Source organism: Homo sapiens, chromosome 15, assembly GCF_000001405.40.
Source record: "Homo sapiens chromosome 15, GRCh38.p14 Primary Assembly".
Lineage (NCBI taxonomy): Eukaryota > Metazoa > Chordata > Mammalia > Primates > Hominidae > Homo > Homo sapiens.
In genome coordinates this window covers 52955905-52971776 of record NC_000015.10, presented here as the reverse complement: position 1 = coordinate 52971776, position 15872 = coordinate 52955905, and the positions used below count along the sequence as shown (strand labels likewise).

The 15872-nt window shown below is 39.7% G+C and overlaps 1 long non-coding RNA gene across 7 annotated transcripts in view; it reads right to left on the bottom strand.

The window, feature by feature from the left end:
* Positions 1 to 15872, bottom strand: part of LOC107983981 (uncharacterized) — a 417903-nt gene that overhangs the window by 249878 nt on the left and 152153 nt on the right. For 6 of the 7 annotated variants that reach the window (XR_004837530.2, XR_932257.3, XR_004837531.2 and 3 more), the window contains one exon: positions 239 to 374. This is a non-coding gene — a long non-coding RNA (uncharacterized LOC107983981). Of the gene's footprint in view, positions 1 to 238; positions 375 to 497; positions 765 to 15872 lie in introns of those variants that run through there. The other variant, XR_001751548.2, reaches the window with a different exon arrangement.

The window sequence follows — 15872 nt, the reverse complement described above, 5'->3', positions numbered from 1 at the left end:
AGAGCTGCTCAGCAGAACATTCAAAAATGTTAGTGCTGGGAGGGGGAACATTCCAGGCTGCGGGGTGGGAGTGTGTGAAAGAAAAGACCATATATCTTGCGATTTCTGCTGCTCAACACAGCAGGAATCTATGAATGGGTCCCGCCAACACTTCCACATGTGGAGAGTTGCTCGCCCACATTTCAGAATCTCAGGGGTCCACGTCCCTGCAAGTGTTTCCCCACAGACCGAGACTCACCCAGCAGGCTCTTGGAATTGTGACAATGGCCTCGTGGAGCATCTGAAAAGACAAGACCCATCTGTGACTGCTCAGGGTGAACGAGACTCAAGTTGGCGCAGCAAGGCTCAGCTTTCATCCACCTCAATGGCCGGGGCTGGAAATGGGATGAAGGGAATGAGGTAGAGAGAGATAAAGTCAGCTTTGGTAAGGAGAGAAAGACAGACCTAGAGTCAGCCTGAGGCCAGGAGGACAAAGAAAATTCACCCTGAAAACTCACCCTGTCGACTCCCAGGAGTGGTCTGACAGTGCACGTTTATCATTCACCTTAATTCAAATCAATTCTGATTTGCGAGAACATCAGCTGTTTGAAGAGATAGGTGACTTCGCCAATACATTCTTGCTTATCTTTCTCACTGACTAAATTAGTAAATTTAACTATAACAGGAAGAAAAAAACTTCAGGGATTTGGCAAGTAAAAAATATTTGCGTGGATCAAAAGGTTTGAATGAAATACTCATTTTGTGTGTGTGTGTCTAAGGCTGCACAGATAAAGTATTTTCCGACTTTACAGGAAACTTCAAGTCATCTAAGGGATGAATCATGCTGGCATATTAGGTGCCAAAAACCAATGCAAAACATTAAAAGTGTGTGATGGATTGTTATTAATATTATTATGACAATACAGTAACTGTTTTGGAACAAGATGGATTTAAATTTTTTAATTGCACAAGATTATTCTTGCACTGGTCCCTTTTAGAAATTTTCAGAGTTAAGAACTTCCCAGACACTACCCAGTATCTAGAAGGGCAAACACACCCACTTTGGGTAGATTCATATGAACCTTAACAGTCTCAATGATCTCCCCAGGATCAAAGGAGAACATTTAATAGAAGAGCATCTGGGCTGGGCGTAGTGGCTCTACCTGTAATTCCAACACTTTGGGAGGTCAAGGTGGGTGGATCACGAGGTCAGGAGTTCAAGACCAGCCTGACCGATATAGTGAAACTCTGTCTCTACTAAAAATCCAAAAAAATTAGCTGGGCCTGGTGGCAGGTGCCTGTAATCTCAGCTGAGGCTGAGGCAGGAGAATCGCTTGAACTCGGGAGGCCGGAGGTTGCAATGAGCCGAGATCACGCCACTGCACTCCAGACTAGGTGACAGTGTGAGTGAGACTCTGTCTCAAAAAAAAAAGAAAGAAAAGAAAAGAAAAGAGCATCTGGTGCCTTCTTCTGGAATCAAGAATTCTACATACAGGTGAAACCAAGCCTTGAGGGACAGACTAGTGTGGAAATGATTTGTTTACTGTGATATTCTGAATACCTGAAATAGCGCCTGGCACATTAGAGCCACTCAATAAACATCTGTTGAATGAATAAATGATTAATGAACAAAATACTGAATGAATGAATGAATGAATGAATGAACGAACGAACGAACAAATGTCTTGTTTCTGATAAACTCATACCAAGTCCTTTTGGCATTAAATCACAAGCATAAAACGCTGGGCAGCTCCCTCATGACTGCTGTGGCATTTCCTCTGCCTCCAACACTGTCTTTCCAGATTTCCACCTTCTCATTCAGGTTTCTGCTGATTACCATCTCCTCCAAGTTGCCCTCCCTGAACACAATATCAGAGGGGGAAAATACACCATCCCACAAAGACTTGCCAGCTATCTCCTTCTCCTGTTATTACCTTCTTCAGAGTAATTATGACTCTTATAAAATACATTAGTATGATGTATTAATTTTCTATGGCTGCTGTAACAATTACCACACTCTTAGTGGCTTAAAACAACACAAATTTATGATCTTATAGCTCTGTAGTTCAGCAGTCTGATACGGGTCTCACTGGGCTAAAATCAAGGTCTGCAGGGGCTGTGTTCCTTTCTGGAGACCTTAGGGGAGAATCTTTTTCTAGGCTTTTTCCAGCTGCTAGAGCCCATCCACATTCTTTAGTGCATGACTCCCTTCCTCCAACTTCAATGCCAGCAACATTCACTTTCTCAGACCATTCTTCCATAGTCATATCTCCCTCCAACCACAGCCAAGAAACATTCTTGCCTTTAAGGATCTCTCTGATTAGATTGAGTCCACCGGGAAAATCCTCGATAATCTCCACCATCTCAAGGTCCTTAGTTTAATCACATTTGCCAAATCTCTCTTGCCATGTAAGGTTACATATTCACAAGTACCAGGAATTAGGATGTGGACATCTTTAGGGGCCATGATTCTGTCTACTACATATGACAATAACTTTTTTCTTGTTTATTGTCTGATCCCAACAGGCTATAAATGCCAGGAAAGCCAGGACTTTGCCTTATTAGCTACTTACTGTATCAGTAGCACGTACAACCAGGCCTAGCACATTTTTGGCACTTCATAAATATTTGTGGAATGAGCAAACAAATGAATGATCCCCGGGGTATGACATAGATTGTTTGGTCTGACTTTTTGTTGCCCCAAAATTTTCAACCAGATATAAACTATTGATGATCCACCTAAGTCATCCTCTGTATACTTACGAGAGTGCCATAATTACTCAATTCTTCAAGACCTAAAATAGGGCAAGAGCCTTTTTGTTAATGTTTGAATGTCTCATATTCATTTATTTACTCTTAATGAAAAAGCAGTTTCAGAAATTATCAGACTCAAGCTTTACTAGCATCCCCTTTCCTTTAGGAATTTCTTGCTATATAGAATAAGACTGGTTTGAGGAAGATTGCACATACATTGTGAGAGATGGGAAGATTTACATCTAGAACCCTTTCTTTCCAGTTAAATAGCCTATAGCCTATGTAATTTGGCGCAAAGGAAGACAGATTAATAAACTGCAGTACTCGCAGCCCACTGAGGGCACTGTGGTATCATACAAAGGACATCAGAACCATATAGGCCTCAGTTGGAGTCCTGGCTCCACACTTTCTAATTATCTAGTTCTGAACAAGCCCCTTAATTACTAGCTTCAGCCTTCTCATCCACAAAAATGGGGAAAACAGTGCTTTTCAGGGATTAGGTAAGAAGAGGTCAAGCATGTGTGCGGTACACACCTAGTACTGGGTAAGTATTAGTTCCTATTTCCTCCCCCTCACTGATCTCATATCCTAAAAGGTTAGAGTATGTGGGGAGGGAAGCTAACAATACACAGAAATAGGACAAGAACAATTGGGTGGAATGAGAGCGTGCTGGCAGCAGAGCTTACTGTTTCAAAGATGAAAATAATAATGCATCACCTGGATATTAATATCCAATGAAAACATGCTGGTTTTTCTTCTCAGTGTGGTAGAGGAGGAGAACTTCAGCCTGGCTTTCAAGTCTTGCATCAGCTAACCTTTTCTAATTCCACCAAACGTGTGCTTACATTCCCGCCACAGGGAGAATTCAGAACAATTGTCCATCAGAACAAATGAAACACTGAAATGATTCAATGTTTGTTGAAAGATTCATTGCATGATACTATATATGGGTTGTTATTCCAGTATAACCAGCTAGAAAATAAGGAGTTGAAGCATCTGCCCACTCACCATATTAAAAAATAAAAGCCCTAATTCATCTTCGAGGGAAAAAATTAGATGAACTATTATTTTGGTGTTTCCTTAATATCATTCATAAATGTCTCCCATCCAAAATTTCCTATTTACTCCTCCCTATCCCAGTCTTAACTATCACCCAAGGCCCAGCTAAAATTCATTTATTAAGCTTTTCCTGATTTTTCTTATTCCCCAATTTTTAGAATTTGTTATTTCTACCACTGATTTGCAAATTTGGTTGATCATCAGAATCCCCTGGTTAAGGATAAGCTAGGTTATACTACAGCAACGAACACTCCAATATTTCAATGCTTTAACACAGCACAGTCTGTTACTAATGCAAAGCCCACTGCAAGTCTGGGAAACTTACCAGCACCATTTTGTTTCATGCAATGATTCAGAGACCCAGGCCAATGAAGACTCTACCATTCCATACCTGAACTATGTGGAATATATGGACCTCCATGACTGACACAGTAATGGAAGAAAATGCTGAATGATCTGGCACTGTCAATTAAATGCTTCAACCCAGAAGTGACATATGTAATTCCCATTCTTGACCCACTAGCCAGAACCAGTCACACAATGCACCCAACTGGAAGTGACTGGGGGAGTATAGCTTTCCCAAGTGGTGAGAAGAAGACAACAGGATACAGATGAGTCTCCTCCACATCTAAAGTTCTTTTTAAAAGTATAGAGTCCCAGGAATACAACACAGACCCACTGAATCCCACAAATCTCACTTTGAGAGCTGGTTTTGAAGACTCTTCATTCATATCACTCATTCTAATGTACTCTTTATTACCCAGCATTTTATCTTTTCTTGTTCATATATGCAAGTTCCCTGAGGATAAGGACTATACCCTCATTTTAATTCAGGAAATGTTCATTAGTCAGACACCAGAAAACCTGAACCTGACATTGAAGCTTGGACCAACATTGAACCTGAATCTGAACATTGGCTTGGAATTCAAAAAGCATACCCATTTCTGCCATGAGTGAGTCACTGGTAAAAACTTTTTTTATTTTTAATTGAGATAGACTTAATATACCATGCAATTCATTTTTAAAGTACAAAATTCAATGGCTTTTGTATATTCACAAGGTTGTGCAATGATCACCACTACCTAATTCTAAAACATTTTCATCACCCCTAAAAAGAAATTCCATACCTATTAACAGTCACTTCCCATATTCCCCCTCCCAGCCCCTGGCAATCACTAACCTATCTGCTTTCTGTCTCTATGGATTTGCCTATTCTGAACATTTCATATAAATGTAATCATACAAAGTGTGGTTTTCTGGTATGGCTTCTTTTACATAGCATAATCTTTTCAAGGTTCATCCATGTTAAAGCATGTATCAGTACTTTATTCCTTATTAAATATTATCCCATTGTACACATATACCACAATTTATTTACCCATTCATCCATTGATGGTCATTTGGCTCATTTCCACTGTTGGGCTATTATAGATAATGCTTCTATGAGCATGCAGGCATGTATCAGTTTTTGTGTGAACAAGGATGTTTTCAGTTTTCTTGGGCATGTACTTAGAAGTGGAATTTCTGGGCCATATGGCCACTCTATGTTTCACAGCACTTTTTTAAATTGATATATAATAGTTGTACTTAATTTGGGGGTACATATATTTTCAGACCTTTATATAATGTGTAGTGATCAAGTCAGGGCATTTAAGATACTCATCACCTCAAAAACACTTATTTTTCTTTGCTTTGGGAACATTACAATTTTTCTCTTCTAGTTATTTTGAAATATACAACGTTATTGTTAATTATAACTTCCCTACTGTACTATTGAATAATATAATTTCTTCCAACTAACTGTATTTTTGTACACCTTAACCAACATATCTTGATCCCTCCTACTCCAATCCCTTCCCAGCTCCTGGTAACCACCATTCTACCCTCTGCCTCCATGAGATTCACATTTTTACCTCCTGCATATAAGTGAAAACATACAATATTTGTCTTTCTGTACCTAGCTTATTTCGCTTAACATAAGGACATTCAGTTCCATGCATGTTGCTGCAAATGACAGGATTTCATTTTTTATGGCTGAATAGTAGTCCACTGTGTATATACACCACGTTTTCTTCCATTCGTCTGTTAATGGACACTTACATTGGTTCCATATCTTGGCTATTGTGAATAATGCTTCAATAAACATGGAAGTGTAGATAAGTCTTTGATATAGTGATTTCCTTTCTTTTGGATAAATACCCAGTGGGATTGCTGGATGATATGGTAGTTCTATTTTTATTTATTTACTTTTTTTGAGGAGCCTCTATACTGTTGTTCATGGTGGCTATACCACTTTATGCTCCCACCAACAGTGTATGAGTGTTCCTTTTCTCTGCATCCTTGCCAGCATTTGGTGTGTTCTGGGTTTTTGTGGGGTTTTTTGTCTGTTTGATAATAGCCATTCTAACTAGAGTAAGATGATATCCCATTGTGGTTTTGGTTTGCATGTCCCTAATGATTAGGGATGTTGAGCATTTTGTATATACCTGTTGGCCATTTGTATGTCTTCTTTTGAGAAATGCCTACTCGGGTCCTTTGCCCATTTTTCAATCAGATTATTTGGTATTTTTTGCCATAGAGCTGTTCAGATTCCTTATAGAACTTTGTTAAATTTACATATTTATCTGTAAAATGTGGGAAGTAGTCCCCTGCCCTGTGAGCCCCAAGAGGCTCAAATATAAAAATAAGAATCAAATATAAAAAGGATCAAATATTTTGTAAATGTTAAAACACTAATAAGCTCTAAGTATTATCATCATGTTTCAAAAGCACTAAGCACAACTTCTTACCCATAATAGGTGCTCAGTGAAGATATGTATGCTGGTTGATTTGTGTAATTTTCAAACAAAAAGAAAAGAAACAGATTATTAAGTGGTATTAAATCCTGAGCATTTTTCCTAACAAGCAGAAGCATGTTACTCAGTGAATACCATAAGTCTGCATTTGATTTGTTTTCCTGAAGCAAAACAATGAATGTGTTGTTAAAATAAAATAAAATTGACCTGATATCTTTAACGGGTTTCCATACGGTCAATCTATTTCTTTAGACAGGCTCAGGAGTGAATAGCCTGTGTGTACAAAAATGGCGTCCACCAGGAACATGCGATATTTGGAAAAACTACTCCACCTTAGTTCCTTTAAAGAAGGGCTCTGCCAAGCCTTTTTTTTTTTTTTTCAGGAGTTAAATGTGTAGTCACAACCCTCCTCACAACTCTAAGGAGGAAGCAGCATTTTTTCACTAAACTGAAAATTGGCATCCCTTCATAGGAATCATGTCACTACCATTTCGGTAGCATGTTCATTCAGGTGTTCTGTCTAAATTGAGACTTTTAGGCACTAATAATAATTAACTACATTCTTAGCAATGAAAAAAGTCTTAAATGCCTATTTACTTAATGGTCCCCTAGGGTGTCTTTGTTTTGAATGGGATAAAAAAAAAAAAAAAAAAAAAAAAAAAAACCTTAGCTGCAAAATAAGCAGGTGATTCTAATCAATAAAGCCAGAGGACTATATTGATTACAAGAACTCCATTCTTTAGTCATTAACCCTGTGAATTCTCTACCATTGCTGGATAAAACTATTTCCACACGTTAGAACATAGAAAAGCTCACTGAGAAACTGGAATCTCATTTCGCTTTCATGCCTTCCATTTAGCCTACAGGATCATTTTAGGGAATCCATTCCACAGGCTGCACATGCAGGAACATGCCTCTCATGACCCTCTCTCAGTAGGGTGTGTGCTTGGAGGTCTTTGGATTTTTTTCCCCATTGGTGGTGATGGATTTTATGATCAAGCATTAAGCCTAGTTGGGGAATTTATTTTGCAGGAACAGGAAGCTTCCTCTCCTCTTTGGTGATTGCCAACATTTCTGCATTTTAGAGTGTTGGGATGAGAAACAACATTGATTTTTTAGTGAGACACAGTAGTTAAAACAATCTGACCTATGTACAACAGGCTGGATCCCACAACCTGGCTTGAGTTTCAAAGTTTAAGTTTATTGGCACATGCTGTAAGTGAACTAAGGATAGTTTCCATTCACTGCTTTTCTCTGAAATCCCATAGCACCTCATAATAAGTGGTGACACAGTGTGGATATACCCCACCAAAAATCAGGGGCTCTGGGTTTAAGTCCTAACTCTCTACTCAAACCAGGCAAGTCATTTCATCCTTCAGGGCTTATTTTCTCACCTGCAAAATGAGGGAGTTGTACTGATCCGTGCATCTCAAGTTTTCATGGGAATATGAATCACCTGGGCATCTGATTTAAATGCAGATTCTGATTCAGTGAGTATAAAGCAGGGCTTAAAATTCCACCCAGGTGAGGCTGAAGCTTCTGGTTCATGGGCACATTTTGAGAGGCAGAGTCCAAATTATATCTGAGGTTCCCTCACCCTGACACCACATCTCTATGACCTGCATGTCTCTGATGGTGTCAATCTATTTCCACCTTGCGCTGTGGACATTTCTGTAACTCCCTAATTAAACTGCAATCTCTCATGGTGAAATATTTTTTTTCTTGAACTCTGGGTCTTCTCTGCATCCCATAGGCTGCACAATGTTTGGCATACAAAGGTGTTCAATAAATATTTCCTAATGAATGTATGAATAAGGACATCTGATATCTTTGCTAATTCCAAGAACATTATATTTAGAATCAGAGCTGGAAGGATAGTTTGAGGCAATCCAATGTAACATTCTTATTTTATCCACAAGTCTAAGACCTAAATCACTCACGATGACATAGTTTACAACATGGCCAAAACTAATCCCCACATTCTTCCCCAAAAGTCTACACTCATACAGCACAGCATCTTCCATACACCTCCATATCACCTGTCAGTCATATTTCACTAGGGGCTTAATTCAGAGAATATGAAAAAGTTTAACTCTACCTGGACTATAATATGTAAAACCTATCTTGCATCTACCCGAAAGAAAGTGACAGGGAGGTTTAGGGAAGAAGCTGGGATCAAAAAAATTAGGTTGGTAGGGGGCCATTTATGCTCTTAGTTCCCTCCTGTTTTGAGAGAGTGGAAGAGTTTGGGATGCGGAGCTAGAAAATACTAGGTTACCAGATTTGAAAGGTAGTAAATTCACTTCTAGATATGACTACATTGCTGGACTGATACCAGTTGGCTTCAGCAGATTGACAATCTTCCCATTCTTGAATCCCATCTTTTCTTCCTTTCATTGCAGGTAGATGGACGTGGTACTCATCTTTATTACCAATTTGCCAAATTCCCATGCTACTGTAAATAAAAATTAGTGCTGTGAAAATTATAATGATTACATTAATATATTATTCATTCAACAAAATGTATAGAAGTATGGCATATATGAAAGGGAGATTATATTAAGACTAGAGTCCTGAGGAAGGGAAGATCATAGATGGTTTGGTCTGCCCACAGAGATGGGGAGGAGGGATTCCTGGCAGGGTTTCAAGCATGGGCACACCATGCTTCTATTTGAGCTCCATGTAGGGAACTGCAGCAGAATAGATGGAGGGAAGATGAGGCAGGAGGCTGGGAGCTCAAATATGAGGCTGCTACAGAAACCATTATGAGAGAAATGAGAACTTGAGACTTGAGCTCAGATAATACTAGTGTGGATGGAAAGACAGGAATTTCACAAAAAATTTAAGGCTGTCCCTTATGAAAACATAGCAGCGTGTATGAGGGAAGAAGAAGGTTAAAGAATTTCAGACCAGACCTAAAATTCAAATAAGAGGAGAAAGCAAGACCGAGAATGGGGAGGGAATACTATGCAGCCATAAAAAAATGATGAGTTCATGTCCTTTGTAAGGACATGGATGAAATCGGAAATCATCATTCTCAGTAAACTATCGCAAGAACAAAAAACCAAACACCGCATATTTTCACTCATAGGTGGGAACTGAACAATGAGAACACATGGACACAGGAAGGGGAACATCACACTCTGGGGACTGTTGTGGGGTGGGGGGAGGGGGGAGGGATAGCTTTAGGAGATATACCTAATGCTAGATGACGAGTTAATGGGTGCAGCACACCAGCATGGCACATGTATACATATGTAACTAACCTGCACATTGTGCATATGTACCCTAAAACTTAAAGTAAAATAATAATAATAAAATTTAAAAAATAAATAAATAAATAAAGACAAAATGCATGTATCACACTGATACAATATCTGTCATATAGCAAATGCTTAATAAATATTGTTATAAACACACACAAAAAAAATATGCAAACCATGAAGATCCGCACAGTTGTTGTTACAGGTGAGGCTCAAATTTGGCTCTGAGCATCCTAGAAGCCAAAGAAAAAACATAAACATGGATAGTGCTTGTTTCTCTAATAGATCAAAAACATAGCGTGCCTAAAAATAGTTATTTAAAAGAAGCACAAAGCACTTAACAAGAAGAAAGAAAATTTTCACATGAAACTTCTATAGGAGGCACTGCAAGATGTAGTCACAATGTTCTCAGCAGCATTCTTACTGTAAATGCAGGAATAACTTTAACCAGGGCATTTCTGGTAGAGGGCCTCAGTGAAATTATAGAGAGACTTTGTTAAGGCAATAGTACGTCCACAGTGAGAGAAGAAAAGATGAAATTCAATTGTATCTCACCCAAGAGATCTTGACTAAGTGGCTGCCATTTCTCGATTACAGCTTTTGCTCAAATTCCTGACAATCTGAGTGATTTCATTGTTGTCGTTGTGGTTGTTGTTGTTGCTGCTGCTGCTGTTGTTCTTGTTGCTGTCTGGCCCTTTGACAATGGGCCATTAAGACAGCCCCAACAGCTGTGACCAGTTTTGCCCTCATGATTGTCGATTTCTAGGGGCTAGGAGGCATTTACCTTTCTTAGCTTCAAATGGGTATTGGCTTTGTTTAAAGCAACACAGGTGCATTTATCAGCTCTTTTTCAAGGCAGCTGTGGTCTTTTCATATTTAGAAAAGCCGATGTGATGCCCAGGTCCCTTTATGTCAAGGCAGCCTTTGCTTTCCTGGAGGTCTTTAGAAAAGTTATCCTTTACATCCCCATGAAGACATTAATTTATCACAGATCCTTGTAATGATTTTCTATTTAATTGAAGGAGGAGAAAGAGAAGAACAAAGTAGAAGGGAAGCAGGAAGAGATAAACAAAAGAGAAAGAAGAAAGAAAAAGTAGGAAGAGCAAAGAGAAGGGGAAGGAAGAAAAAAAGAAGAAGAGGAGAAAGAAGATGAACTACAAGGACTAGGAGATAAATGCTCCCAAAATACTTCAAAGGCAAAGCCCCCAAGGTAACTTAGGGCACCTTCAAGGCAAGAGTAAAGAAGGACTATTTTCACCAAGGAAAGATGTTTTGCCAAGCTTCCCTGAAAGAGAGAGAACGGACATAGAGAGAAGGAAAAGATATAACTGGCCATAAATGAGACACTACTGATTTCTCTGTGATATGACCAGTTTCAACTTCAGATGTGGTTACGTGCATGACTGTTTTATTCGCCAGCCTGACTCCTCTGTCTGCCACCACATGGCTGGATGTGAAAATACTGCTTGGGCCTGATGCTAGTGGTCCATCTGTGAATGGTGGCATCTTATAAACACTATCAGAGCGCAGACCAATTCACAAAGGTGATGTCTCAGACCTTCCAATCACCCTCCCTTGCAAGCTCAAATAGGGTCACGTTGAACTTTCAAAATACTTCCTTTCGATTCTTTTATGCCATTGAGAATGCCTTATTTCCTTAACATTTATATGGTTCCCTATGAAGTATCAGAGTTTATTTATCCAGGTAGTCAAATGTATTAAACAAGGAGGAAATATGATCTCTGATGGAACCACAAGAATGTAAGCTTCGTGAAGGCAAGGATTTTGTCTGCTTGCTAATTCCTCAACCCTCAGTGACTAGAACAATGCCTGGCACTCTGTAGGCTCCTGATAAATATATGTTGAAAGAACGAATCAATAGATGAATAAACAGATGCTGGTGGTAAGAACAGTATGCCCGACTTTGGAGGGCACTGCTTCTATGAAAACATATATGCATGTTTATAGGATTGTTTCTAGACCCACAGAAAATTAGAATTGGAAAAGAACATTGTGGTCTTCTAGTCTAGCCTAAGGCCATGAAAATACTGCTAGTGACTATGATAATAATAGTAAATATTTGTTGAGTACAGCAAAGCTCAAAGTCACATCATGAATCTGCAGCAAAGCCAAAGCCCATCCCTGGCCTCTTGACTCCCAAGTCACCATCCTTTCCACTGCCACACAGTACCCAGGCAATTAACAAGCCTATGTCCAGGTTCCTGGCTTGACCAAGAGGCTCGTGAAGCTGACTGACCTCACCAGGAAATGAACAGAAAGTCCAAATTTGATTCCAGTCCCTGTGCATTATGGAGGGCAGGGATGGAAAATCCATGGGCAAAGGGATGAGGATGAAAAACAGCTTGACCCTAAGGAATATAACCACTGACAACCCCCTCCCTGGACCTTAAGGGGGCTAAAATAATGACCTTTTATTCTCATTCAGCACTTTAACATTTTTACAGTACTTTTGAGGCCATTTCTTCACTGAATTTCACAAACTAGCATCCTGCTGGCCAAATGCAGTTCACAGACATGCTTTGTGTTGGCCCACAGGTAAACACATTGATCCCTCATGAGGGACTTCCATTCATTCCTGAAAAACTGTCTGCAAAGAGAAAAACCATTAAATGAAAAATATTTCCATTCAGTTGAATGGGAAAAATTATGAGGTATTTCATCCCAAACCAAGATACTTAAACTGTTTTCTCAGATTATAAAAAAGTTATACCAATTGAACAATGAAAATAAATGTATAGGTAATAAACAACAACTTTAAAGTCCATAAATATAGTTTTGCACATAAAATGCAATGTGATTAAAATTTATGGTACTCATTTTTTTCTTCTTTCTGCATCATTTTCTTCATCAATTTTTCAACCTTCTGGGGACTCATGGTTATTTTTGCACTCAAACTACACTTGAAAATAAAGTTATAAACAGAAAAACACCCTCAGGGCAAAATAAAAGCTAAACAGGACAGTGCTTCAAAATGTGGAAATAGCACACACATGCAATTGCAGAGTCATGAGAAGCTGCTACCTCTTCATCTCTGGTACTTGACATTCATAAACAAGCAAAACATTTGAGTTTATCCAAACATAGCATGCAATTCAAATTCTCTCTTTATAATATTTTTGACTGAATCTGCTGTTGGATACATGAGTAAGTATTTTTTTGCCTAAAACCATAATGTAACAATATCACTTCTTTTAACACACTTATGTAGTGTGTGTAAGGGTAAAAAAAATGTCATTTATACACTCACCAAAAAAGGGAGGTGGCCAAAAGGTGGTAAAACTTTTCAAAAGCCATTAGAACAGGAAGACTTCAACGGATCAATGGGTATAGAAGTCTGTACCATAAAACTGGAATCAGTTGGAAACATTTAGAAATAAAGAATACCACAAAGAAATATAAAAGTCTGGCCTCTCTTGAGAAAGTGGACAATCTGACTACCCTGGTCTCAATGTTCTAACACAGCAGCAAACAGCTGGAGGAGTGGCTGCCCATCCATAGGGCCACGCACACCCCAAGACAACACAGTCCCCACCTGACCCTCTTCACTCGGTTCTATTCCTTATCTGGCCCTTGTAGAAATCTTTAGTCTGGGAATCTATTTCTTTTGGCTGTTCATTACAATGCTCCTACATGTGCAAGAGCCTTCCCATATAACCTGCTTTCCACAAAGAGACTCAGGCTGCACTAACAGAGAGTTCCTCCAGAATAGATGCCTTCCAGGGCACCATGTTTGAGACAAAACCGGGCAGTTTTGAGGCATCTGTGGCCACAGGGATACTGTCTGAGCCTGATGAAAGTGGAAGATTTGGAGTCTAAAAGCTCTAATTGGTCCCCTGGTTTTGTCATCACTTCCTACATTCTACTACGAATATTTTTGTGCCTGCCTTCTCGTCTCTGTTAAACTCTGTTTCTTTCATATTTATCCCCCTACACACACAGAGAGAGAGGGAGAGAAAGAGAGAGAGAGAGAGCATGCATGTGCTCACGCAAGAGAGAGGGATAGAGAGAGAGAAAGCACCTCCTAGTACAATAATATCATAGGTTCCAAGCTGGTGTAGGATAATCCTTTTTTTTTTTTTTAATTTTACTTTAAGTTCTGGGATACATGTGCAGAATGTGCAGGTTTGTTACATAGGTATACATGTGCCGTGGTGGTTTGCTGCACCTATCAATCCATCATCTAGGCTTTAAGCCCCACATGCGTAGGTATTTGTCCTAATGCTCTCCCTCCCCTTGCCCCCACCCCCTAACAAGCCCCGGTGTATGATGTTCCCCTCCCTGTGTCCATGTGTTCTCATTGTTAAATTCCCACTTATAAGTGAGAACATGAAGTGTTTGGTTTTCTGTTCCTGTGTTAGTTTGCTGAGAATGATGGCTTCCAGTTTCATCCATGTCCCTGAAAAGGACATGAACTTATTCTTCTTCATGGCTGCATGGTATTCCATGGTGTATATGTACCACATTTTCTTTATCCACTTGGATAATCCTATTATTAACCCCACCTCCCTGGTTCCCTCCAGGGAAAGCTATGACACAAACAGTAGCTACATGGAAAACAGAGTACTCAAAGTTGGGATACACTGTGCACCCCCAGCTTAAGTTACTGCCTGTCAACTAGAGACGTCAGGACTACAGAGAGGCTCACAGAGGCACAGCCTATACCTAAGTGCTTCCTGCGGGGGAGCAGGAAGTAGTAAAGAATAGATGAAGCTTAGATTTCTGCCTCTGTAACACAGTAACTCCCTCCTCCAGAGAAAACATGGCTCAATAAAAACCCTAGACTCGGATCAATCATTTTATTAGCTACTTCTTCCTGGGGCAGAATCTAGGAAGTAGATACCAGATGAGTGTAAATATCCCCTCCCCATTGTAGAAACCCAGTAAACTTGGCTAATACTTGCTTAGGCAGCCCAGGCATTATTATTCTCATTTTACTAGAGAAACTGAGGCCCCAAGATGTCATAAAATACATTCAAACTTGGAAACATAGAACGGGACTAATAATCTAGCTATTTTTATTTGAATTCCCCATCCAGAGCACAGCATCGCTAAGTGGTATCACTGGATAAAATCTTTGCAAGAGATTTGGACTACCTGACTAAAAGTTCCTGGAGGTTATATTTGGAGTACCTAAAACAGCTATAATTGTTATTACTTTCAGCCCTGTTTGGCCTCATTCCCCATGTTTGTCCTAAGTCCTACATTCCCCATGTGTGTGGGGTACATTGTTTCTGAAAGAGAGCATCTGGAATCATCATTCAGTCACTGGAAATAGCTCTCAACTTTGCACACTGGATTCACTTGGGAAGCTTTGACAGATACTGGTGCCATGGTCCCAGCCCTAGAGATCCCAGGCATCGAGAGTTTTAAAAGTTCCCAACATGATTCTATGTGGATCCAGCATTGAGAACCACAGTTGTAAACTCTCCTTTAGGCTGTCTTGGCTTTTTGCTGAGAAAGTCTTGGCTTTCCTGGGGGCCAGGAAGCTAATGTCCCTTTCCTACCACCTAGGTTACACAGGCAGCTTAGAGTTCAGTCCTGTTCCCAATGTTAAATCTTCACTTTCCAAGCCAAGGGCTCTATTAGTAATAATAATAATTACTATTTAGTGAGCACTTACTTTGTGAGGGCTTGTGTGCTAAATGGTTTGTGTGCATTATGCATTACCTCATTTAAACCTCAGCAACACCCTGTGAGACAGGTGCTATTATTTTTTTCCCAATTCCCAGATGAAGGCTCAGAGAGTTTGCATAACTTAGCCAAGATCATCTAGCTCCTAAGAGGCAGGACAGGAATCAACCTGGCCTGACCCCAAAGCTAGAACTCTTATTTTTTATTTTATTTATTTATTTATTTATTTATTTATTTATTTATTTATTTTTGGAGACGGAGTCTCACTCTGTCGCCCAGGCTGGAGGGCAGTGGCGCGATCTCGGCTCACTGCAAGCTCCGCCTCCTGGGTTCACACCATTCTTCTGCCTCAGCCTCCCCAGTAGCTGGG